General features: G+C 55.1%; 2 protein-coding genes across 16 annotated transcripts in view; one reads left to right on the plus strand and one right to left on the minus strand.

The window, feature by feature from the left end:
* PLCXD1 (phosphatidylinositol specific phospholipase C X domain containing 1) overlaps nt 1–10,989 on the plus strand; it is a 27,001-nt gene extending 16,012 nt beyond the window's left edge. For 9 of the 11 annotated variants that reach the window (NM_001370370.1, NM_001370372.1, NM_001370371.1 and 6 more), the window contains 2 exons: nt 668–851; nt 6,730–10,989. In NM_001370370.1, coding sequence (NP_001357299.1) covers nt 668–851; nt 6,730–6,968 — 423 coding nt within the window. In that variant the 3' untranslated portion in view covers nt 6,969–10,989. The remainder of the gene's footprint in view (nt 1–667; nt 852–6,729) is intronic. The other 2 variants (NR_028057.2, NR_163416.1) reach the window with 2 other exon arrangements.
* GTPBP6 (GTP binding protein 6 (putative)) lies at nt 12,392–26,429 on the minus strand. Of its 5 annotated transcripts, none has more exons than XM_047442761.1 (11): nt 26,072–26,429; nt 24,912–25,052; nt 24,547–24,684; nt 22,862–22,932; nt 22,523–22,653; nt 21,783–21,850; nt 20,165–20,557; nt 19,052–19,260; nt 15,365–15,513; nt 14,993–15,145; nt 12,392–12,830 (listed from the first exon to the last, which is right to left on the minus strand). In XM_047442761.1, exons 3-11 carry the CDS (start codon nt 24,614–24,616, stop codon nt 12,707–12,709), a joined length of 1,368 nt encoding a protein of 455 aa, XP_047298717.1. In that variant the 5' UTR covers nt 24,617–24,684; nt 24,912–25,052; nt 26,072–26,429; the 3' UTR covers nt 12,392–12,706. The 5 variants fall into 5 exon arrangements, with proteins under 5 accessions (XP_047298717.1, XP_047298716.1, NP_036359.3 ...); XM_047442760.1 differs by having other exon boundaries at nt 24,912–25,117; NM_012227.4 differs by lacking the exon at nt 24,912–25,052 and having other exon boundaries at nt 20,399–20,557.

The raw sequence follows: 26,534 nt of genomic DNA on the forward strand, positions 1-26,534 counted from the left end.
AGAATGGTGTGAACCCGGGGGGTGGAGGTTGCAGTGAGCCGAGATCGCGCCACTGCATTCCAGCCTGGGAGACAGAGCGAGATCCGTCTCAAAAAATAAAAAATAAAAATAAATAAATATATAAAAATAGAGACAGGGTCACCCTGTGCAGCCCAGGCTCGAATTCCTGGCCTCGAGTGATCCTCCCGCCGTGTCCTCCCAAAGTGCTGGGATTACAGGCATGAGCCCCTGCACCTGGCCATACTTAATTTATTTATTTATTTGAGAGGGAGTCTCGGTCTGTCTCCCAGGCTGGAGTGCAATAGCGAAACCTCGGCTCACCGCAACCTCTGCCTCCCAGGTTCAAACGATTCTCCTACCTCAGCCTTCTGACTAGCCGGGATGACAGGCGTGCACCACCGCACCCGGCCAATTTTTGTATTTTTAGTAGAGATGGGGTTTCACCATGTTGCCCGGGCTGGTCTCAAACTCCTGACCTCAGGTGATCCACCCACCTCGGCCTCCCAAAGTGCTGGGATTACAGGCGTCAGCCACTGCGCCCGGCCAGAATTTCATTTTTGGTTTATACTCGTGTTGGGCCGGTGTCCCGACTTCCCAGCCCTCCGCTCTCCCAGGTGCCCCCGGCTCTCCTCTCTCCCCTGCACCCCTTAACTCTGGTCCTTTGCAGGAGGTGCCGACACTGCGGCAGCTGTGGTCCCGGGGCCAACAGGTCATCGTCTCCTATGAAGACGAGAGCTCCTTGCGCCGGCACCACGAGCTGTGGCCAGGAGTCCCCTACTGGTGGGGAAACAGGGTGAAGACCGAGGCCCTCATCCGATACCTGGAGACCATGAAGAGCTGCGGCCGCCCAGGTACCAGGTCGCCCCTCGTGGGGGTAGATTCCACACAGCCTCCCGTGACGCCCTGCGGCAGGCCGGGTCCACATGGACTTGCCTTCACTTTTACGTGAAAACAATTTAAAAGGAATCCATGAGCTGGGCGTGGTAATCCCTGTACCTGTAATCCCAGCACTTCGGGAGGCCGAGGCGGGTGGATCACCTGAGGTCGGGAGTTTGAGACCAGCCTGGCCAACATAGTGAGACCCCAACTTTACTAGAAATAAAACTTAGCGGCCGGGCGCAGTGGTTCATGCCTGTCATCCTAGCACTTTGGGAGGCTGAGGCGGGCAGATCACCTGAGGTCGGGAGTTCGAGACCGGCCTGACCAATGTGATGAAACCCTGTCTCTACTTAAGAAGCACCCAGGGAGAAAGCAGTCCATGTACATTGGCGGGGGGAGGGATCAACAAGGTGTGGTCCATCCACGCGGTGGAATATTACACAGCCATGAAAAAGAACGAGGCTCTGACAAGGATGCAGCGGGCACAAACCTTAAGACATCACGCTCAGTGAGAGAAGCCAGACACAAAAGGACACGTAGTGTGTGAATCCATTTACAGGAAATGCCCAGAACATGCCAATCCAGAGACAGAAAGAGGATTTGTGGTTGCCGGGGGCTGCGGAGGGGAAATGAGGACTGACTGCTTCATGGAAACAGGGTCTCTCCTTTTAGGACGATGAGAATGTTCTGGAACTAGGGAGAGGTCGGAGTTGCACAACGTGAATCCACTTTATTTTTTTTAGTTAATTCTTTGATTAGAGAAGGGGTCTCACTGTGTTGGCCAGGCTGGTCTCAAACTCCTGGTGTCAGCCAGGTGCGGTGGCTCACACCTGTGATCACAGCACTTTGGGAGGCCAAGGTGGGTGGATCACCTGAGGTCAGGAGTTTGGAGACCAGCCTGGCCAACATGGCGAAACCTCTTCTCTAGCAAAAATACAAAAATTAGCGGGCACAGGCCGGGCGCGGTGGCTCACGCCTGTAATCCCAGCACTTCGGGAGGCCGAGGCGGGCGGATCATGAGGTCAGGAGATCGAGACCATCCCGGCTAACATGGAGAAACCCCGTCTCTACTAAAAATACAAAAAATTAGCCGGGCGTGGTGGCGGGCGCCTGTAATCCCAGCTACTCCGGAGGCTGAGGTAGGAGAATGGTGTGAACTCGGGAGGCGGAGCTTGCAGTGAGCCGAGATCACGCCACTGAACTCCAGCCTGGGCGACAGAGTGGAACTCTGTCTCAAAAAAAAAAAAAAAATAGGCACCTGTAATCCCATCTACTTGGGAGGCTGAGGCAGGAGAAATGCTTGAATCCAGGAGGCGGAGGTTGCTGTGATCCATGGTCGCGCCACTGCACTCCAGCCTGGGCGACAGGAGCAAGACTCCATCTCAAAACAAAACAAAAAAGAGAAAAATTAGCCAGGCATGGTGATGCGCGCCTATAATCCCAGCTACTCAGGAGGCTGAGGCAGGGGAATCACTTGAACCAGGAAGGCGGAGGTTGCAGTGGGCCGAGATCGAGCCAGTGTACTCCAGCCTGGGCAACAGAGCGAGACTCTGTCTCAAAACAAAACAAGACAAAATCAAACTTCTGGGGTCAAGCGATCTGCTTGAACCACCATTCCCAGCCGAGTTGTGCAATTTAAAATCGTGAATTTCGGTGCAGTGGCTCACGCCTGTAATCCCACCACTTTGGGAGGCCGAGGCAGGTGGATTAATTGAGATCAGGAGTTTGCGACCAGTCTGGTGAAACCCCATCTCTAGTAAAAATACAAAAAGATTTAGCTGGGCGTGGTTGTGTGCACCTGTAATCCCAGCTCCTCGGGAGGCTGAGGCAGGAGAATTGCTTGAACCCGGGGGCGGAGGCTGCCGTGAGCCGAAATCGCGCCACAGCACTCCAGCCTGGGCAACAGAGCGAGACTCCATCTTGGGAAAAAAAAAAAAAGGTAACTTTTTTGTACGTGAATTTCACCACAATTTTTGTAAAAAAGCCACCGACGGGGTGTGAGGTGCAGACAGCGTCGGCAGCCACGGCCCCGTGTCCTCCGGAGGCAGGAGCCTGAGGGAGGGAGGGAGGAAGGTCCTCCCCGCGGGGACGGTGGCAGGTGGGGCCGTCTCGGTCCTGCAGCCTGCGGCTGGGTTCTCTCAAGGTGATCTTCACGGCCGCGAGGGCTGCTTCCCACAGGGGCAGCATGAAACCCAGTCACGGGCCGGGCAAAGGAGCAGGTTTTTTCAACTTGGTCTCTTGCCCTCACACAGGAACGAGGTTTAGAGACTTCAGAAATGTCTTTTTTTTTTTTTTGAGGTGGAGTCTCACTCTTGTTGCCCCGGTCGGAGTGCAGTGGCGCGATCTCGGCTCACTGCAACCTCCGTCTCCCGGGTTCAAGCCATTCTCCTGCCTCAGCCTCCTGAGTAGCTGGGACTACAGGCGCCCGCCACCACACCCGGCTAATTTTTTTTTGTATTTTTAGTAGAGACAGGGTTTCACCATGTTGGTCGGGCTGGTCTCGAACTCCTGACCTCATGATCTGCCCGTCTCAGTCTCCCAAAGTGCTGGGATGACAGGCGTGAGCCACGGTGCCAGGCGGAAAATTTTTTTGTTTGTGTGTTTGTTTTTTGAGACAGAGTTTTGCTCTTGTTGCCCAGGCTAGAGTGCAATGGCGCAATCTTGGCTCACTGCAGCCTTCGCCTCCTGGGTTCGAGCAATTCTCCCGCCTCAGCCTCCCACCACGCCCGGCTAATTTTTATTTTTAGTAGAGATGGGGTTTCTCCATGTTGATCAGGCTGGTCTCGAACTCCCGACCTCAGGTGATCTGCCCGCCTTGGCCTCCCAAAGTGGTGGGATTACAGGCTTGAGCCACTGTGCCCGGCCTTTTTTTGTTTGTTTTGTTTTGTTTTTGAGACAGAGTCTTGCTCTGTCACCCAGGCTGGAGTGCAATGGCGTGATCTCGGCTCACTGCAACCTCCACCTCCTGGATTCAAGTGATTCTCCTGCCTCAGCCTCCCGAGTAGCTGGGATTACGGGCACGTACCACCATGCTGAGCTAATTTTTGGATGTGTTTTTACTAGAGAAAGGGTTTCAGCGTGTTGGTCAGGCTGGTCTTGAACTCCTGACCTCATGATCCACCGGCCTCAACCTCTCAACGTGCTGGGATGACAGGCATGAGCCACCGTGCCCAGCCTAGAAATACGTGTTAAAAACCACTGAGAGAACTTGGCCATAAACGTCTGTTGCCTTTGCCGTCTCTGGCTGTGGAATCAGTCCAGCTGGTCAACACAGGGGCACTGGAACCTACCTCTGGGGGAGCTTCTTCAAATATGGCTTGCAGGAGATTCCGGCTCAGCAGATGTAGGTGGAGCCCCCAAATTTGCATTTCTAACTATTGCAGGGACCCCACTTTGAGAATCACTGGTCAACGTCAACCCTCTCTATAAGCCTCATAAGAGATGGCACAGACTTAGTGCCCAAGACAACAGCATTCTTCCTGTCTATCACATGGGGGATAAGAATGTGGACAAGTTTGGGGCCATATTATTCTGTCTCCCACATGGGATTAGGACGTGGACATCTTTGGGGCCATTATCCTGTCTACCTCATGGGGATTAGGACGTGGACATCTTTGGGGACATTATTCTGTCTCCCACATGGGGATTAGGACGTGGACATCTTTGGGGCCATTATTCTGTCTATCACATGGGGATTAGGACGTGGACATCTTTGGGGACATTATTCTGTCTATCACATGGGGATTAGGACGTGGACATCTTTGGGGACATTATCCTGTCTATCACATGGGGATTAGGACGTGGACATCTTTGGGGACATTATTCTGTCTCCCACATGGGGATCAGGACGTGGACATCTTTGGGGACATTATTCTGTCTATCACATGGGGATTAGGACGTGGACATCTTTGGGGCCATTATTCTGTCTATCACATGGGGATTAGGACGTGGACATCTTTGGGGACATTATTCTGTCTATCACATGGGGATTAGGACGTGGACATCTTTGGGGACATTATTCTGTCTATCACATGGGGATCAGGACGTGGACATCTTTGGGGACATTATCCTGTCTATCACATGGGGATTAGGACGTGGACATCTTTGGGGCCATTATTCTGTCTCCCACATGGGGATTAGGACGTGGACATCTTTGGGGCCATTATTCTGTCTCCCACATGGGGATTAGGACGTGGACATCTTTGGGGACATTATTCTGTCTCCCACATGGGGATTAGGACGTGGACATCTTTGGGGCTGTTATTCTGTCTCCCACATGGGGATTAGGACGTGGACATCTTTGGGGACATTATTCTGTCTATCACATGGGGATTAGGACGTGGACATCTTTGGGGCTGTTATTCTGTCTCCCACATGGGGATTAGGACGTGGACATCTTTGGGGACATTATTCTGTCTATCACATGGGGATTAGGACGTGGACATCTTTGGGGACATTATTCTGTCTCCCACATGGGGATTAGGACGTGGACATCTTTGGGGCTGTTATTCTGTCTATCACATGGGGATTAGGACGTGGACATCTTTGGGGCCATTATTCTGTCTATCACATGGGGATTAGGACGTGGACATCTTTGGGGACATTATTCTGTCTATCACATGGGGATTAGGACGTGGACATCTTTGGGGACATTATTCTGTCTATCACATGGGGATTAGGACGTGGACATCTTTGGGGACATTATTCTGTCTATCACATGGGGATTAGGACGTGGACATCTTTGGGGACATTATTCTGTCTCCCACATGGGGATTAGGACGTGGACATCTTTGGGGACATTATTCTGTCTATCACATGGGGATTAGGACGTGGACATCTTTGGGGACATTATTCTGTCTATCACATGGGGATTAGGACGTGGACATCTTTGGGGACATTATTCTGTCTATCACATGGGGATTAGGACGTGGACATCTTTGGGGACATTATTCTGTCTCCCACATGGGGATTAGGACGTGGACATCTTTGGGGACATTATTCTGTCTATCACATGGGGATTAGGACGTGGACATCTTTGGGGACATTATTCTGTCTCCCACATGGGGATTAGGACGTGGACATCTTTGGGGCCATTATTCTGTCTATCACATGGGGATTAGGACGTGGACATCTTTGGGGACATTATTCTGTCTATCACATGGGGATTAGGACGTGGACATCTTTGGGGACATTATTCTGTCTATCACATGGGGATTAGGACGTGGACATCTTTGGGGACATTATTCTGTCTCCCACATGGGGATTAGGACGTGGACATCTTTGGGGACATTATTCTGTCTATCACATGGGGATTAGGACGTGGACATCTTTGGGGCCATTATTCTGTCTATCACATGGGGATTACGACGTGGACATCTTTGGGGACATTATTCTGTCTCCCACATGGGGATTAGGACGTGGACATCTTTGGGGACATTATTCTGTCTATCACATGGGGATCAGGACGTGGACATCTTTGGGGCCATTATCCTGTCTATCACATGGGGATTAGGACGTGGACATCTTTGGGGACATTATTCTGTCTATCACATGGGGATTAGGACGTGGACATCTTTGGGGCCATTATTCTGTCTATCACATGGGGATTAGGATGTGGACATCTTTGGGGACATTATTCTGTCTCCCACACGGTGTTACGACGTGAGCATCTTTGGGGTTGTCTACTGCCCACCACGCTTTATAAGCAAAGCTCACCCAATTTCCTTGTTGGACATGGTGCTTTCAACTCTTAATTCCTGAGATGCGAACCTCTAATAATGTGACTAGGAGGGAGAAACAGGCGGGTGAGGCCCGTGACCGTGTAACCTCTCCCCACCCTCACCGTTGCAGGAGGGTTGTTCGTGGCCGGCATCAACCTCACGGAGAACCTGCAGTACGTTCTGGCGCACCCGTCCGAGTCCCTGGAGAAGATGACGCTGCCCAACCTTCCGCGGCTGAGCGCGTGGGTCCGAGAGCAGTGCCCGGGGCCGGGTTCACGGTGCACCAACATCATCGCGGGGGACTTCATCGGCGCAGACGGCTTCGTCAGTGACGTCATCGCGCTCAATCAGAAGCTGCTGTGGTGCTGACGGGACCCTTCTGAAGTTCGGGACGCGGCGGCTGCAGTTTCACCCCCGAATTTCCAAGTATTGTGACTTTGTTTGGGCCAAATGTTGGTGATCATAGGACCGATGATAATACGTTTTCATTTTCTTTAAAATAGAGATGGGGTGGCTGGGCGTGGTGACTTCGCCTGTCTTCCCAGCACTTTGGGAGGCCGAGGTGGGTGGATCATGAGGTCAGGAGCTTGAGAGCAGCCTGACCAACATGGTGAAATCCCATCTCTACTAAAAATACAAAACTTAGCTGGGTGTGTGGCAGGCGCCTGTAGTCCCAGTTACTCGGGAGGCTCAGGCAGGAGAACTGCTTGAAGCCGGGAGATGGAGGTTGCATTGAGCTGACATCGTGCCACTGCACTCCAGTCTGAATGATAGACCGAGACTCCATCTCAAAAGAAAAAAAAACAGCCGAGTGTGCAGTGACTCACGCCTGTCATCCCAGCACTTTGGGAGGCGAAGGCGGGTGGAACATGAGGTCAGGAGTTCGAGACCAGCCTGACCAACATGGTGAAACCCCGTCTCTATTAAAAACACAAAAACTACCTGGGTGCGTGATGGGCACCTGTAGTGCCAGCTACTCAGGAGGCTGAGGCAGGAGAATGGCGTGAACCCGGGAGGTGGAGGTTGCATTGAGCTGAGATCGTGCCACTGCACTCCAGCCTGGGCGACAGAGCGAGACTCCATCTCAAAAAAAAAAAAAAAAAAAAAGATGGGGTCTCTCTATGTTGGCCAGGTTGGTCTTGAACTCCTGGCCTCAAGTGATCCTCCCACCTCAGCCTCCCAGAGTGCTGGGATGACAGTCAAGAACCACCATGGCAGCCCATAATATGTTTTCTTATTTCTGTATTCTCCTTGCTGTGGCGTCTGGAGCCCTTACAGACCCAGGGAGACACTATCCTCCCACAGCTCACTAATTACTAAACACAGTGACAGCCCACTTAGGAGCCGGCCTCCCCTGTCAGCCAACCCCTCAGCTAGTTCTCACACCAAGCCTATAGATATATATGTGTGTGTATATATGTGTGTTTATGTGTCTGTGTGTATATATGTGTATATATCGGTGTGTATATATGTATGTATGTTTATACATGTGTATATGTGTGTGTGTGTGTGTATATGTGTGTATGTGTGTATATATGTATATGTGTGCATATGTGTATACGTGTATGCATACATGTATATGTGTATGCATGTATATGTGTATGTGTACATGTATATGTGTTTATACATGTATATGTGTGTATGCGTGTATACGTGTATGTATACATGTATATGTGTGTATGCGTGTATATACACACGTATACATATATACGTGCGTGTGTATGTGTATATATATATATGTGTATATATATATTTTTTGAGGAGTCTCACTCTGTCACCCAGGCTGGAGTGCAACGGCGAGATCTCGGCTCACCGCAACCTCCGCCTCCCTGGTTCAAGCAATTCTCCTGCCTCCGCCTCCCGAGTAGCTGGGATGACAGGCATGTGCCACCACACCCGACTAATTTCATATATTTAGTAGAGACGGGGTTTCTCCGCGTTGGTCAGGCCGTTCTCAAACTTCTGACCTCAGGTGATCTGCCCGCCTCGACCTCCCAAAGTGCTGGGATGACAGGCATGAGCCACTGTGCCCAGCCGCCGATATTTCTTTAAATTATGTTTAGGGACAGGGTCTTTTTCTGTCACCCAGGCTGGAGGGCAGTGGTACAGTCATAGCTCACTGCAGCCTCAACCTCCTGGGCTCAAGCGATCCTCTCAGCTCAGCCTCCCGTGTAGCTGGGGCTCCAGGGACACACCCCCACTGCTGGCTAATTTTTGTATTTTTGGTAGAGTCAGGGTTTCACCACATGGCACAGTCTGGTCTCAAATTCCTGGGCTCCAGTGATCCTCCCACCTTAGCTTCCAGAGTGGCCAGGATCACAGGCAGGCACCACCATGCCCAGGTAATTTTATTTTTTTGTAGAGACGTGGTCTGGCTATGTTGTCCAGGGTGGTCTCAAACTCCTGGGCTCAACTGATCCTCCCACCTCAACCTCTGCCATAGCCAGGACCTCAGGTGTCAGCCACCACACCCACAGCTAATTTTTTTTGTAGAGATGGGGTCTGGCTCTGTTGCTCAGGCTGGTGTGTAGTAGGGGCACAGTCATAGCTCACTGTAACCTTCAACGCCTGGGCTGAAGCAATTCTCCCGCCTCAGCTTCCCAAGTAACTGGGAGTATAGGTGTACACCACCATGCCCAGCTAATTATTTAGTAGTAGTAGGAGGAGTATTATGTTTGAGATGGAGTCTCGCTCTGTCGCCCAGGCTGGAGTGCAGTGGCGCAGTCTCAGCTCACTGCAACCTCTGCCTCCCAGGTTCAAGCAATTCTTGTGCCTCAGCCTCCTGAGTAGCTGGGATTACAGGCGCCCGCCACCGCGCCTGGCTAACTTTTGTATTTTTAGCAGAGATGGGGTTTCACCATGTTGCCCAGGCTGGTCTTGAACTCCCGACCTCAGGTGATCCATCCGCATTGGCCTCCCAAAGTGCTGGGATCACAGGCGTGAGCCACCGCACCTGGCCTCAAGCCAGTATTTCCCTGGCCCTAAATCATTCCTGGCTGGGTCCCAGCCCAGTAGAGCCAGCCCCCCAGCCCGGAGTGCTACTGAAGTGTTCAAAAGTTGTCAATCCTCAGCCGTTCCCTAGTCCTGTTGCCCGGTTCTGCCGAAGCCCCTTGAAGGCTGTGGCCTGGGCTGTTCCCTCATTCATTCCTGCCTCCCGAGCCAAACCCAGGTATCCGCTTGTGCCCTGCGTGGTGTGGCAGCGTCTTCTCTCGGGAAGGGTCAGGAGTAATTTCTTCTTTCAGTGGCCTCTCTGTGCTAGTCCCGGTCACCTCCGTGAATTAAAGTCCTACAGGTACAAGGGAGACCCCCCCCCCACGGAAGGCGCCCCCAGTCCGTGTGGGAGACTCGCACACCGGTTTTCTGCACAGGTTTCTTTCTGCCTCTGAAGCGTGAACGGTCCTAGTTTCAGACGCAGATCCTGCAAATACTTTTTTTTGTTTTTTTGAGATGGATTTTCCCTCTTGTTGTTCAGGCTGGAGTGCAATGGCACGATCTCAGCTCACTGCAACCTCTGCCTCCCGGGTTCAAGTGATTCTCCTGCCTCAGCCTCCCGAGGAGCTGAGATTACAGGCGCGTGCCACCGTGCCTGGTTAATTTTGTATTTGTATTTTTATTTATGTTTTGAGACGGAGTTTCGCTCTCGTTGCCGAGGCTGGAGTGTAGTAGTGTGATCCTGGCTCACTGCAACCTCCACCTCCCGGGTTCCAGCAAATTCTCCTGCCTCAGCCTCCCAAGTAGCTGGGATTGCAGGCGCCCGCCACCACGCCCGGATAATTTTTGTGTGTTTAGCAGAGACGGGGTTTCACCATGTTGGCCAGGCTGGTCTCGATCTCCTGACCTCAGGTGATCCACCCGCCTCGGCCTCCCAAAGTGCTGGGATGACAGGCGTGAGCCACCGCGCCCGGCCTATACCTCATTTTCTACATGTCGCTTGTTGGAGCTGCTGGTTCAAGTTCCCAGCCAGCCAATGGATGCCAGCACCATTTTTACTCCCCTTTCCCAAGCAAATCGTGCATTTTTGTCTAACGAGAGACATCAGTTTCTCAGGATGATCCTCAAGAACGTTATGGAGTCCATGTTGCAATAGGTTCTCTTTGGGACCTAATGACTCATTTTCCAAAAATCCGCTTCTACTTTTGGTACCCGGTTGCTACGGTGAAATGAAGGTGCCCCGCATCCAGAAAGACGCACTCCTGGACCACAACCGGCGGCTACCTCAGCCCCACGGCTCTGCAGGATCAGGGCTCGGGCAGGCCCCGCGGAGATGAAGAATTTGCAGGGAGCCTCCCTGACTTCCGTCGGCTGTGAATCCTTGTCTGTCAGGGGCGTATCCACAAAATCACCGAATTCATACAGATCGTTTAAATAAATGAACATCATTAAAGTCAAATATGAGTATGAATTTTATTACCACCAATGCAGCCAAGACACCTCTGGCAGCTTTCAGGATAGCACGCCAGAAGCATCTTTAGAAAATGTTAATTCAGGAGGCCGGGTGCGGTGGCTCACGCCTGTAATCCCAGCACTTTGGGAGGCCGAGGTGGGCGGATCACAAGGTCAAGAGTTCGAGACCAGCCTGACCGACATGGTGAAAATACAAAAAATTACTAAATATACAAAAATAATATATAAATTATAAATATATAAGAATACTAAAAATATAAAAAATTAGCCAGGCATGGTGGTGGGGGCCTGTAGTCCCAGCTACTCAAGAGGCTGAGGCAGGAGAATGGTGTGAACCCGGGAGGCGGAGCTTGCAGTGAGCCGAGACTGCACCACTGCACTCCAGCCTGGATGACAGAGTGACACTCATTCCGTCTAAAAAAAAAAAAAAAAGTTAATTCAGGCCGGGCACAGTGGCTCCGCCTGTAATCCCAGCACTTTGGGAGGCCGAGTTGGGTGGATCACCTGAGGTCAGGAGTTTGAGACCAGCCTGACCGACATGCTGAAAACCCATCTCTACTAAAAATGCAAAAAATTAGCCGGGCGTGGTGGCGGGCGCCTGTAATCCCAGCTACTTGGGAGGTTGAGGCAGGAGAACTGTCTGAACTCAAGAGGCAGAGGTTGCAGTGAACTGAGATCGCACCACTGTACTCCAGCCTGGGTGACAGAGCGAGATTCTGTCTCAAAACATACAAGGCATTTTGTTTTCCCGTTGATGGAGACGGCTAATGTGCGTGTAACGGCTGCACAGCCTGGCCACACGCAGGTGAAATTCTCTCTCTGCATCTCTTAGTGGATGGTCTGTGACACATCACCGTCTGGTTTGTTTGTTTTGAGACGGAGTCTCGCTCTGTCTTCCAGGCTGGAGTGCAGTGGCGCGATCTTGGCTCACTGCAACCTCCGCCTCCCGGGTTCATGCCATCCTCCTGCCTCAGCCTCCCGAGTAGCTGGGACTACAGGCGCCCGCCACCACCCCCGGCTAATTTTTTGTATTTTTAGCAGAGGTGGGGTTTCACCATGTTAGCCAGGATGGTCTGGATCTCCTGACCTCGTGATCCACCCACCTCAGCCTCTCAAAGTGCTGGGATTACAGGCGTGAGCCACCGTGCCCGTCCTCACGGTCTGGTTTGAAGCTGCTTCTTTAGTAAAACTATTTGCTTTCCCTTCTACTTTTGTGGAAGGGTTCTCTGTGCTGCCGGGAAACCTGATTTTTCGTCATTTCCCCGACACCACCATGGGAAACGAGACCATCTGTGAACACAGACAGCCGGGCGGAGGGGCCGTCGGTGCCCACCAGGGCCACGGCTCACGGCAGGTGCAGGAGGAACTGGAAATGCTGCTCACGGAAGTAAAATCAAAGGTTTAATGTCCTGTTACGGAAACATTCCGAGGGAAAGCAGTTCACAGCAGGCACCGAGGGCCCACTGGAATTGTGTGGATGCTCAGGCTTGGAGTGGACGCTCGGGCGGCCCGCTTTGGGGCAGGTGCGGCCGTGTCACCGGCCTGCACGGTCATCCCAGCAAATGGCTGGGAGCGAGACGGGTGCAGAACCAGACAAGGAGGACCCTGCTGCACCTGACACCAAGCTGCCCCCAACACAGCGGTAACGCCTCAGCTCCCCAGGCAGCGATGCCCCCACCCCGCAGGCCTCTGTGGGCGTCCGTTCATCCTGGAAAGAGCTTCCGGAATTTGCCGTAGGCTGAGTTGCTGATGATGACCCTCACGTCGGCCGCCCCGTCCTCAGGGATCACGTCCACCTCCTGAACTGTGGCCTCCTTATACAGCCAGCTGGGCACAGATGCGCGTTGTATGGAGACAAGCAGAACCCGTAAGTATTTGCTTAGTTTCATGATAAATAATTACGCTAAAAAGAGCTTAGCTCAAACCATTCATCAGACCGTCCTGTTTCCTTTTGTTTTTTTTTTTTTTTGAGACGGAGTCTCACTCTGTCGCGTAGGCTGGAGTGCAGTGGCGCGATCTCAGCTCACTGCAAGCTCCACCTCCCGGGTTCAAGTGATTCTCCTGCCTCAGCCTCCCGAGTAGCTGGGACTACAGGTGCATGCCACCACACCTGGCTAATTTTTTGTGTTTTTAGTAGAGACGGGGTTTCACCGTGTTAGCCAGGATGGTCTCGATCTCCTGACTTCGTGATCCACCCGCCTCGGCCTCCCAAAGTGCTGGGATGACAGGCATGAGCCACTGCGCCCGGCTTTTTATTTTTTATTTTTTTTTTTGAGACAGAGTCTCGCTCTGTCGCCAGGCTGGGGTGCAGTGGCACGATCTTGGCTCACTGCAACCTCGGCCTCCTGGGTTCCAGCAATTCTCCGGCCTTAGCCTCCCGAGTAGCTGGGACTACAGGTGCCCGCCACTGCGCCCGGCTAATTTTTTGTATTTTTATTAGAGACGGGGTTTCACCGTGTTAGCCAGGCTGGTCTCGATCTCCTGACCTTGTGGTCCGCCCACCTCGGCCTCCCAACGTGTTGGGATTACAGGTGTGAGCCACCCCACCTGGGGTGGTAACTTTTTATTCTTTGTAGAGATGGGGTCTCACCATGTTGCCCAGCCTGGCCTCAAACTCCTCTCAGCTCAAGCAATCCTCCTGCCTCGGCCTCCCAAAGTCTTGGGGTTACAGGCCTGTGCCACGGCATCCAGCTGGAGCTTGCTTTCTTATTGGTAGGGAGACCTGTACCCCTTGACTGGCAGCACAGATTAGGCACCTGTTGTGCGCACAGTCAGAAATGTATTTTGACTGTCAAGTGCAGATTAGGCACCTGTTGTATGCAGTCAGAAATGTACATTTTGACTGTCAAGCGCAGATTAGGCACCTGTTGTATGCAGTCAGAAATGTACATTTTGACTGTCAGCACAGATTAGGCACCTGTTGTATGCACAGTCAGAAATGTACATTTTGACTGTCAGTGCAGATTAGGCACCTGTTGTATGCACAGAAATGTACATTTTGGCTGTCAAGCACAGATTAGGCACCTGTTGTATGGTCAGAAATGTACATTTTCACTGTCAGCATAATTAGGCACCTGTTGTATCCACAGTCAGAAATGTACATTGAGTGTCAGCACACATTAGGCACCTGTTGTATGCACAGTCAGAAATGTACATTTTGTCAGCACAGATTAGGCAACTGTTGTATGCAGTCAGAAATGTATTTTTACTGTCAAGCACAGATTAGGCACCTGTTGTATGCAGTCAGAAATGTACATTTTGACTGTCAGCACAGATTAGGCACCTGTTGTATGCAGTCAGAAATGTACATTTTGACTGTCAGTGCAGATTAGGCACCTGTTGTATGCACAGAAATGTACATTTTGGCTGTCAAGCACAGATTAGGCACCTGTTGTATGGTCAGAAATGTACATTTTCACTGTCAGCATAATTAGGCACCTGTTGTATCCACAGTCAGAAATGTATATTTTGAGTGTCAGCACAGATTAGGCACCTGTTGTATGCAGTCAGAAATGTACATTTTGACTGTCAGCACAGATTAGGCACCTGTTGTATGCAGTCAGAAATGTACATTTTGACTGTCAGCACAGATTAGGCACCTGTTGTATGCAGTCAGAAATGTACATTTTGACTGTCAAGCACAGATTAGGCAACTGTTGTATGCAGTCAGAAATGTATTTTTACTGTCAAGCACAGATTAGGCACCCGTTGTATGCAGTCAGAAATGTACATTTTGACTGTCAGCACAGATTAGGCACCTGTTGTATGCACAGTCACAAATGTAGATTTTGACTCTCAAGCGCAGATTAGGCACCTCTTGTATGCACAGTCACAAATGTACATTTGATGCAAACCCATTCATCTCGTCTGTACATCCTAAAGCTCTCGGGGATCTCACAGCTCCTTGTGCACCCACGAAGAGCCCGTTTCAGAGCCAGAGACAGGCATCCAAAGCACCATCCCGTCTCCTGCCCCTGCAGGCCGCTCACCTGAGCTGCGCCCCTGCGAGCCTCACACGGAGAGTGAGGATCTGTCTCCCCGTCGCCTTCAAAACCGCCGCATCGAGCTCAGCTTTCAGCTCCTGGAGCCCGTGGCCCCGCAGGGCAGACACGGGCACGACGTTCGGTTCCGTGGGGCTGTACCTGCAAGGGTGGGGATGTCACAGGCCCCGCTCAGCGTCGGGGCGGCCGGACGAAATCAGGGTCCCCAGGAGTCCACTGCCCACGGGGCACAGTCTGGGGCCACTCCCTGTGTCCTGACTGCCACCGCTGCGGTTCACACGAGGAGACGGGGCATCTCCCCACCCGGCTCCAGCGCGTGCAGGGGAAGGAGACGCTTGCGGACCCCAGGGCCGGACTCACCCGGGCACGAGGTCCACCTTGTTGTGAACCTCCACCATGGAGTCCAGGAGCGGGGCGGGCAGCTGCAGGCCACGCAGCGTGGACAGAACGCTGCATTTCTGGAGCTCCGCCTCGGGGTGGCTGACGTCCCTCACGTGCAAGATGAGATCCTGTGGGCCGGGCCGTGGGGTCAGAGCTGCGGAGCCTCTGGTCCCTGACCCCAAGCTTGCAGACAGGCCCAGGAGAGGGGCTCACACGAGCTCCCAACGACAGGCTGGGCATGGGAGGTACGCCTGTGTGCAGGCCCCTCGGACACCCCAGGACGGGGGCTCCTAGACCAACAGTGGACGCGAGCCCACCCGGCTGCACTTACCCAACCTTCCAAGCCACAGGCAGCAGCTCCGCACCCCCAGACCCACACGCAAGGGGGTGCCATATATGAGCACCCAACCACCACCCACCCACCCAGGGGGTCTTCATTCAAAGCTTTAGGGCGGCTTCATCCTCCTGTGAAATGTCTTTTAACAGCGGAATTATTTCCTCTTTAAAGGATGCTTTTTTTCTCACGTTCAAAAAAAATCTTACAGGCAGGCTCCTTACACAAAATTTGAAAAACACAGGGAAAAAAAAATAAAGCCGTGTGTAATTCTCCAACTTATACTACCGGGGTATCCACGTCTACTTTTTGTTTGTTTGGATGCACTTAATACAAATAATATTTTTCCTGTAACTGAGGCACTTTGGGAGGTGGCTTGAGCCCAGAAGTTTGAGACCAGCCTGGGCAAGAGAGTGAGGCCGTTTCTACAGAAAGTACAAAAATTAGCCATGGCCTGGTTGTGCGTGTCTGTGGTCTCAGCTACTCAGGAGGCTGAGGTGGGAGGATCACTTGAGCCCAGGAGGTCGAGGCTGCAGTGAGCCGAGATCATACCACTGCGGTTCAGTCTGGGTGACAGAGCGAGACCCTGTCTCTAAAGAAGAAAAGTAAAAACAAAAAAAATAATTTCATCCCAGGAAAGTTTTACTTTTTTTTTTTTTTTTTTTTTGAGACGAGTCTCGCTCTGTCACACAGGCTGGAGTGCAGTGGCGCGATCTCAGCTCACTGCAAGCTCCGCCTCCCGGGTTCAGCCATTCTCCTGCCTCAGCCTCTCTTGAGTAGCTGGGACTACAGGCACCCGCCACCATGCCTGGCTAATTTTTTATATTTTTAGTAGAGACGGGATTTCGCCGTGGTCTCGATCTCCTGACCTGAAGTGATCCACCCGCCTCAACCTCCCAAAGTGCTGGGATTGCAGGCGTGAGCCACCACACCCGGTCCATAATTTATTGTCGGGAGGAGTCGAAAGCGGAGTCCAGGCTCCGGGCGGGGTTCAGTCCCATCTCCTCAAGGAGGTGGCAGCCGCGTCCGTTCTTTGGGACATTTGCTGCTTCTCCCTCAGGGCAAAAAACAAAGCCGTAGCCTGAATGTGACAATCTCACACCTTGTTTTCCTGCCTTGTTGCTTGACAATATTTCCCCGTGCTCTTCATGCACTTGGAAAGTCTACGGTACGGATGGAGTGTGCAGCTCACTCAGCACCCTACGGCCGGGGGCAGTTCCGGAGCCAAACAGCACCCCGCCCCCAAATCCACATCCACCAGCAGCCTCAGAATGGGACCCTACCCAGAATTAAGATCTCTGCGGATGCAGCTGGTGAAGATGAGGTCAGGGTGGAGCAGAGTGGGCCTTAAATCCAACGACCGACCGGTATGTTTACGACAGAAAGAAAGAGATGTGGGGCAGACACAGAAGAGAAGGGGACCTTGCTTGGAAATGGAGTTTTTGCAGATGTAGTTAAGATGAGGTTACCCTGGATTTATCTAGGTGGCCCCTAAATGCAATGACAGGTGTCCTAGGAGACACAGACACAGAGAAGGCCACGTGGAGATGGAGGCAGAGACTGGAGTGGTGCGGCCACAAGCCCAGGGACGCCTGGAGCCCCCAGGAGCTGGGAGAGGCAGGAAGGACCCTCACCTAGAGCCTCCAGAAGGAACTGGATCCAACTGAAGTGAACTGAACTGTGGCCCCCCACAAAAGACCTGTCCATGTATTGATCATCTGGAACCTGTGAATGGGACATTATTTGGAAACAGGGTCTCTGCAGATGTGATTAAGTGGAAGATCTGAAATGAGATCATCCTGGATTAGGGTGGACCCTAAATCTAATGACTACTGTCCTTCTAAGAGACAGAAGAGGAGACACAGACACAGAGAAGAAGGCCACAGACAGAGGCAGAGACTGGAGTGATGCGGCCACAAGCCCAGGGACGCCTGGAGCCCCCAGGAGCTGGGAGAGGCAGGAAGGACCCTCCCCTAGAGCCTCCAGAAGGAACTGGATCCAACTGAAGTGAACTGAACTGTGGCCCCCCACAAAAGACCTGTCCATGTATTGATCATCTGGAACCTGTGAATGGGACATTATTTGGAAACAGGGTCTCTGCAGATGTGATTAAGTGGAAGATCTGGAGATGAGATCATCCTGGATTAGGGTGGACCCTAAATCTAATGACAGGTGTCCTTCTAAGAGACAGAAGAGGAGACACAGACACAGAGGAGGAGGCCACAGACAGAGGCAGAGACTGGAGTGATGCGGCCACAAGCCCAGGGACGCCTGGAGCCCCCAGGAGCTGGGAGAGGCAGGAAGGACCCTCCCCTAGAGCCTCCAGAAGGAACTGGATCCAACTGAAGTGAACTGAACTGTGGCCCCCCACAAAAGACCTGTCCATGTATTGATCATCTGGAACCTGTGAATGGGACATTATTTGGAAACAGGGTCTCTGCAGATGTGATTAAGTGGAAGATCTGAAATGAGATCATCCTGGATTAGGGTGGACCCTAAATCTAATGACTACTGTCCTTCTAAGAGACAGAAGAGGAGACACAGACACAGAGGAGAAGGCCACAGACAGAGGCAGAGACTGGAGTGATGCGGCCTCAAGCCCAGGGACGCCTGGAGCCCCCAGGAGCTGGGAGAGGCAGGAAGGACCCTCCCCTAGAGTCTGTGGTCAGCTCCCGCTTTCTGGAACTGTGGTAGAGCTGGTTCCTGTGGTTTCTGGCCCCCATTTGTGGCCCCTTTTGCAGTGACAGCCTCAGGACCCCACAGGTGTTTCCAGGGTCTCGGTGTTCATCGATCCTCAGGCATCACCGTGCTGTGTCCGCCACTGCCCGCACGTCTGTGACACGAACGGTCACTCTGTCTGTCAGGGGTCTGTGACGTGGAGCAGGTGCACCCGGGAACACGCTTATGTGTTCAGGCACATAAGCCGGGAGAGGACTGACGGCCGACTTCCTATTTCTACACGGGCTCACGGCGGCAAGAACATGGCCCTGAGTGTCGGTGAGGCTGGGGCAACCGCTCAGCCTCTCGCCCGGGGACGTGGGAGGCTTGGGGGACACTAAGTCTGAGCCCCAGGAGGCAGTTGTTGTTCCGGCCCCGAGTTGGGTGGGTGTCTGAGGGCCCGGCCCCTGGCTTTGTGTGTGTCTGAGTGCCTGGTCCCCGTGCCCAGTGGGTGTCCGAGGGCCTGGCCCCTGGGCTGAGTGGGTGTCCGAGGGCCCGGCCCCTGGGCTGAGTGGGTGTCCGAGGGCCCGACCCCTGGCTGTGTGTGTCTGAGTGCCCAGCCCCCGTGCCGAATGGGTGTCCGAGCACCCGATCCCCGGCCGTCCCACGCTCACCGAGTGGGCCACGTCTTCCAGGGTGGCGGAGAAGGACTCGATGAGGCCGTGCGGCAGCTGGGAGAGGAAGCCGATGGTGTCCACGTACAGGACGGTCATGCGTGAGGGCAGCGTGCCCGCGTGGGCCGTGACGTCCAGCGTGGCAAACAGCTGGTCCCGTGGCTGGATGGCGGCATCGCCCGTCAGTGCCTTGATCAGCGTGGTCTTTCCTAGGAGGGCGTGGAGGTCAGGGCGCTGCAGAGATCCCTGCGTCCCAACTCCTAGCGCCGCAGCCAGGCCCTCCAAATGGAGACCACGGCACCCTCTGGGGGGCCGCACCCCGGGCTACACGGTCCCTGAGCTCCTCGGGCACCCCGGGCCAGACCCGACGCGTGGGACAAAGCCACCGTCGCTGTTCTCGGGCCGATGGAGCGGGGCCGCCGTGCGGACACGGGGGAGATGGTGGTGTGGACGGGTGTGCGTGTGAAGGCGTGGATGGGAGTGAGGTCGTCTGTGTAGATTTGGCAATGGCGTAGATGGTGGGATGGTGTAGGTGGGGTGGTGGTGCTGGTGTGGATGGGAGGATGGTGTAGACACAGGGGAGGTGATGGTGTAGATGGGTGGATATAGATACGGCAGTGGTGCCGGTGTTGACAGAAGGATGGTGTAGACAGAGGAGAGGCGATGGTGTAGACAGATGGGTGGATTGTATAGACGGGTGGTGGTATAGATGGGGCAGTGGTGCCAGTGTAGACAGGAGGACGGTGCAGACGAAGGGGACATTGTGGTGTACACGGGTGGATTATGTAGACGGGGTGGTGGTATAGCTGGGGCAGTGGTGCCAGTGTAGACAGGAGGACGGTGCAGACAAAGGGAACATTGTGGTGTACACGGGTGGATTATGTAGACGGGGTGGTGGTATAGATGGGGTAGTGGTGCTGGTGTAGACAGGAGGATGGTATAGACAGAGGAGAGGTGATGGTGTAGATGGGTGGATTGTGTAGACAGGGTGGTGGTATAGATAGGGCAGTGGGGATGGTCTAGACAGGAGGATGGTGTAGATGGAGGGGAGATTGTGGTATAGACAGGGTGGTAAAGCTCTGGATGGGAGGATGGGGTAGATGACATCCTCACCTTGGCTGCTGTACCCCACACAGAGACCACAGGAAACCCGTCTCCTGGGTGAGCTCTCACAGCAGCTGGTGTACCCCACACGGCGACCATGGGAACCCCCTCTCCTGGGCACGTGCTCACCGCAGCTGTCGTACGGCACCACTGAGACGACAGGGACCCCCTGCCCTCCCCCGGGCGAGTCCTCACCGGTGACACGGAGACCGCGGAAGGCCCCTCCCCTGGGCGCGTGCTCACCGCAGTTGGTGTACCCCACCACGGAGATCACGGGGAACTCCCGCCTCGTCCGCTGCCGGCGGAGCAGGTGCCTCTTCTTGCGAAGCCTGTCCAAGGCCTTCCTGATCTTGGCCTCCTTCTCTCTCAGGAGACGCTGCTGCAGCTGCATGAAGGATTCTCCTAAAAGACACCCGAGATGGTGAGGCGGTGAGCCACGCCGGGAAAGGCACAAGTGCGGGCGGTGCCGCGGAGGGTCTGCGGGGGCCCGGGGCCTGCTCCCGCTCCAGCATCTGGGGGCCCGGCTGCTTTCCCCAGCAGCGGCCCCGACACGTCCTGTTCCATGAGAAAGGGCTCTGCTCGGCGGAACGGGATCTCGCCTCCGGGTGTCCACCCTGTGAGGTCAACGAGGGCTTCCCGTGACTCGGGGAGAAAGTAAAGGCCAGATCACTACGGAGGCCTCCGAGCGGGACACGGCCCAGGACGTCATCGTGAGCGGGCTCAGTGGGGCCCCTTTCACATCCGAAGTCCCAGAACCTGGGAATGGGACCTGATTTGGAAATATGGTCTTTGTAGGGTCTCAAAATATCACCCTAGGTTAGGGTGGGCCCTAAGGCAACGACCTGTGTCCTTCTAAGAAGCAGAGACCGGAGTGACGAGGCCACAAGCCTGGGACGCCTGGAGCCCCCAGGAGCTGGGAGAGGCAGGAAGGACCCTGCCCTAGAGCCTCCAGAGGGAAGTGGATACAAGTGTAGCGGATTGAACTGTGGTCCTCCTAAAAGATCTGTCCACATCCTAATTCCCAGAACTGGTCAATGGGACCTTATTTGAAAATAAGGTGTTTGTCATAACTGAAGTATCTAGAGATGCGACGATTCTGGATTAGGGCGGGCCATAAATGCAATGACATGTGTCCTTGTAAGAGACAGAAGAGGAGACACAGACACAGAGGAGGAGGCCACGTGGAGACGGAGGCAGAGACTGGAGTGACGCGGCCACAAACCCAGGGATGCCTGGAGCCCCCAGGAGCTGGGAGAGGCAGAAGGAGCCCCTGGAGGGAGCGCAGCCCTGTCCTCACCTTGATCTCAGAGTTTTGGTGTCCAGGAGGGGAGAGCATAGATCTCTGCTGTTTAAATCCCCAGTTTGTGGCTACTGATTTAGGCAAAACCTCCAAAAACCACCAGCATCTCCTATCTCCTCAAATGCTACCAGACGGAGCCCCCAGCCAGCCCCCACCCTGTTGGAATCTTCCAGGGCTGAGGGTCTCCTATGTCCTCAAATGCTACCAGGAGACGGAGACCCCAGCTGGACCCCACCCTGTTGGAATCTTCCAGGGCTGAGAAGGGTGGCTGCCGCTGACAACCGCATTCCGAGGACCCTCTGGGACGCCGCGCCCGGCCCGAGTTACCTGACCCCATGATGTAGCGCGAGCCGACTCCTCGGTACAGGTGGGCGACGTCCCTTTTCAAGTTCGACCTGGTGTGGGAACGGGAGTGGCTCGGTCTCTGCGGACGCTGTCTCCCTCCCGGCAGAGGTCGAGGTGAAGGTGAAGGGGGCACTGAGCTGGGCCTCTGGGCCGAAGGGAGGAGCCGCTGTTGCGGCCCCGCTCCGCGTGTAGCTCACACACTGTGAGTGACGCGTGTCCCGGGCCGAGGGGACCTGCCTAGTGGGGAGCCGGGGGCAGGCAGTGGGGGCAACGGGCCCCGGAGAGAGAGCCCACACGGTGCTTTTCTTCTTTTTTTTTTTTTTTAGACGGAGTCTCGCTCTGTCACCCAGGCTGGAGTGCAGTGGCGTGATCTCGGCTCACTGCAAGCTCCACCTCTGGGGTTCACGCCATTCTCCTGCCTCAGCCTCCTGAGTAGCTGGGATTTCAGGCGCCCGCCACCACGCCCGGCTAATTTTTTTCTTGTATTTTTAGTACAGACGGGGTTTCACCGTGTTGGCCAGGATGGTCTCGATCTCGTGACCTCGTGATCCGCCCACCTCGGCCTCCCAAAGTGCTGGGATGACAGGCGTGAGCCACCGCGCCCGGCCCCCATGGTGCTTTTCTTCCTCACGCACCCCCAGAACGCCCTACAGGTGACTACAGAACGGAGGGGTTCCGGGAGTGGACGTGACGCTCGGCGCGGCCCAGGGGCCCCACGATACCTGTGCAGCGGCATCTCCGCCAGGGCCACCTGAAGCCGGGCCTCCTTCGTGCGGGCGTTACAGCGGAAGATGTGCAGGACGACCGTGAAGCGGTCAAACACCTCCACGCCCCAGGCGGCTTCCAGTTCTTTCTGCAAAAGGAGAGAGCAACTGAGAAGCCACGGGGGAAGGCCGGGCCCTGGTGGCCAATGTGAGAGGAAGGAGGACGTCTCTAATGCCTTAACCCCACCGTGTCCCCATCTGTCCCCATCTGTCCCCCGCCTGGCCGGACGCCGTGGCGTCCCCTCCTTCATCGCGTGGAGTGCGGGGACAAACACAGCAAGCCACATCCTGTGGTACCTTGGTCGGGGCAGCCATCCTCTCCACGTTCAGGAAGACGCACGTGATGTCTGGAGACCCTCGGATCTTTTCTAACAGAAAGAGGGGGTCCCGTCAGAGGCTGGCCGTCCACACCCGTGGACTGTGGGATGAGCCCACCATACCCTTTGTGGGATGCACCGCGGAGAGCTCACTTCACAGGCATCCCCGACTTCCTGAGCACGAGACCCGGGATCCAGGAAGTCAGCGTGGGAGGGGGTGTGTCTCTAGGAGTGTGTGTCTCAAAGACATAGACATGCATACGGTGAACACATCCCGGCAGGGACACAAACACATACACACGCAGACACACACACACACACACACACACACACACACAGTAAATACATCCCGACAGGGACAGACACAGACACACAGACAGACACACAGAGACACACACAAACACAGTAAACACATCCCGGCAGGGACACAAACACATACACACACACACACACACACAGTAAATACATCCCGACAGGGACAGACACACACACAGACACATACACAGAGACACACACAAACACAGTAAACACATCCCAGCAGGGACACAAACACATACACACGCAGACACACACACACACACACAGTAAACACATCCCGGCAGGGACACAAACACATACACATGCAGACACACACACACACACACAGTAAATACATCCCGACAGGGACAGACACACACACAGACACATACACAGAGACACACACAAACACAGTAAACACATCCCGGCAGGGACACAAACACATACACACGCAGACACACACACACACACACAGTAAATACATCCCGACAGGGACAGACACACACACAGACACATACACAGAGACACACACAAACACAGTAAACACATCCCGGCAGGGACACAAACACATACACACGCAGACACACACACACACACACACAGTAAATACATCCCGACAGGGACAGACACACACACAGACACATACACAGAGACACACACAAACACAGTAAACACATCCCAGCAGGGACACAAACACATACACACGCAGACACACACACAGACACACACACAGTAAATACATCCCGACAGGGACAGACACACACACACATGCACCGTGGACACATCCCATTGGGGACACACACACACACACACACACACAGGGTGAACACATCCCAGCAGGGGTGAGATGCATCTGAGTCAGGCAGGAAAGCTGACCCCCACCTGGGCAGGTGACCCAGGGCAGCCGACCCCCACCTGGGCAAGTGAGTAGCGTCTTCCCAACTCTACTGGAAGCGGGATGGTCAGAAACCTGGGAAGCGCAAGGATCGCATGCTGGACCCCACCCTAAGAGACTGCTGGTGGGGTGGGGGTCACCCAGGAGGAGGATTTGGCTGGGGCCTGCAGGGGCAGGTGGGGTTACAGCCGGTCCACCGCCTACCCTGTTTGTTGGACTCTATAAACTGCCCCGACCTAATCTTTACCAGTTTAAGTCTCTCCAGGGCCCGGTGTGAATCTCGACACAGATAAAGCCTCACCGTCCTCCGACTCCTACTGGCGTGTGCTCCCAGCTCACCTGGGCAATCCGAGAGGCCGCTTCCCCTCTGGCCCCGCAAGACCCCCGTACTTCAGCATGTCTCGGTTGGATGTTTTCGGTAGCGGCGGACAGGAAAGGAGGTTTGGGGAAGGAGCAGGTCTGGACGGACCCACCTGTCAGGTGCTCAAAGTTCCCTTTGCCAAAGATGAGCTTCCTGTCCGGCGTTTTGGTGGACACGACCATTGTCTGCACCACGGACCAGCCGTCCAGCGTGTGCACCAGCGCTGTGGCCTCCGCCACCTGCCACTCGGCTGCGGGGACACAAGGGCCACCGTGAGAGACGCTTCTGCCCGGGGCCCCCGTCCACACCTGCCCGGGGAGGCCTCCTCCTGCCCTTGAGACAATCTCCCCGGAGAAGGCACCTTGAGCCGCCGTTTGTCCCCCGATATGACTTCGTCCCCCCAGGGCCTCTAAGTAGGAATCTGACGGGAGAAGGACACCGGAGCCACAGCGGGACACGAGGGCGACCCTGCCTTACATGGAATTTGGGCTCCAGGCGGGCGCAGCAGGGAACCCGGGAGCTGCGGGTGCTCAGGGGATTACTGAGGAACCACCGGCAGGTTTGGGGAGTAGAGAGGCAAGAGGTCTGCGCGCTGTTCTGAGCAGTTCGGGGCTTCATCTGTTCCAGGAATTAGCCATTTTGGAAAACACCCGTAAAGAAAAACCACTCATCGACTACAGGAGCTTCCAAGGGAAAAATCAACCTTTATGAGACTCTGACACGTGCAGCGACTTATTCATTTGCATTTCCTCCTGGGGGGTGGGGGGTGGGACTAGACACAGATTGGTCCGCTGGACGCCCTCCCTTCCCTGACCTCAAACACACCGTGCCTACCTCTAACCCAGAGCAAGAGAAACGTAGGTCCCATCGGCGAGAACCGCCCCGGCCCACCCAACCCCACCCCACCCCACCCCACCCCACCCCACCCCACGGACCCCACGGGCCCCACCCCATCCCACGGACTCCACCCCATAAGCTCCGCCCCCGCACTTTTACCCCATAGGCCCCTCCCCCGAAGCCCCGCCCACGCACCTCCACCAATGATATCCTCCCCTCTTCCCCATAAGCCCCGCCCTTTCACCCATGGGCTCCTCCCCCGAACCCCACCCATGCACCTCCACCTATGAGATCCTCCCTTCAGAGCCCCGCCCCCGCATCACCATCCATAAGCTCTTCCCCTCAGAGCCCCGCCCCTCAGCGCCACGCCCTGGCATCTCCAACCATCAGACCCTCTCCTTAGAGCCTGGCCCCCTGAAGCCCCGCCCCTACGTCGCCACCTGAGCTCTTCCCCTCAAAGCCCCGCCCTGGGTCTCCACCTATGAGATTCTCAGGTCAGAGCCCCGTCCCTGAATCTCTACCTATGAGCCTCCCCAGAGCCCCGCCCTTGCATCGCCAGCTATGATTCTCCCGAGTCCCGCCCCTGAATCTCCACCTATGAAATCCTTCCTGCAGAGCCCCGCCCTTGCGCCTCCACCTATGAGATTCTCCCCACAGAACCCCGCCCCTGAATCTCCACCTATGAGATCGTCCCTTCAGAGCCCCGCCCCTGAATCTCCACCTATGAGCCCCCTCCCCTCAGAGCCCCGCCCCCAGGTCTCCAGCTCCTGTTTCTCCCCCGAAAGCCCTGCCGCGGTCACCTCGAGTCATCTGCGACTTCCCCGGGCCCCACTTGACGTCAGGGTGAACCAGACACACGCGCTGGGTCCCCGCCGGCAGCAGAGGCTCTCCCCGCAGCAGCTCCTCCTCGGCGTTCTCGTCCGCATCTTCCGGCTCCTCCTCGTCGTCTCCCGTGCGGCTTCGGCCGCCGTCCGCCCGCAGGCCCCGCCCTCCGCCCCACGGCCCCTCCAGATTCCCGGGGCTCCTGCGGCCGACAGCGGCTAGCGCGCGCGCGGGGCAGGACGGCGCGGCTGCCCGCGGAGCCGAGCGGCCGCGGCCCACGCGGGAGAGCCGCAGCCCCGGGCGTACGGCGGCCCGCAGGGCCCACATGGCGCGTCTGGAGGCTGAACGTTGGGGCGGGGGCTGCCCACAGGCCGCTCCTCATCACGTGCTCGTGATTGGCGTGCGGCCGGGGCTGGCTCACCAGCGCCTCTCCCCGGCACA

This window comes from Homo sapiens, chromosome Y (assembly GCF_000001405.40).
Source record: "Homo sapiens chromosome Y, GRCh38.p14 Primary Assembly".
In the NCBI taxonomy this organism is placed as follows: domain Eukaryota; kingdom Metazoa; phylum Chordata; class Mammalia; order Primates; family Hominidae; genus Homo; species Homo sapiens.

Excerpts from the sequence above, each read along its gene's own strand:
- GTPBP6 (XM_047442759.1), bottom strand. The coding sequence starts at position 26,420 with ATGTGGGCCCTGCGGGCCGCCGTACGCCCGGGGCTGCGGCTCTCCCGC. Across the intron at positions 15,514-19,051 it reads TGGAAGACGTGGCCCACTCG|GATCTCATCTTGCACGTGAG; the intron begins GTGAGCGTGGGA and ends CCCGGCCCACAG. Across the intron at positions 15,146-15,364 it reads AAGGTGGACCTCGTGCCCGG|GTACAGCCCCACGGAACCGA; the intron begins GTGAGTCCGGCC and ends CCACCCTTGCAG.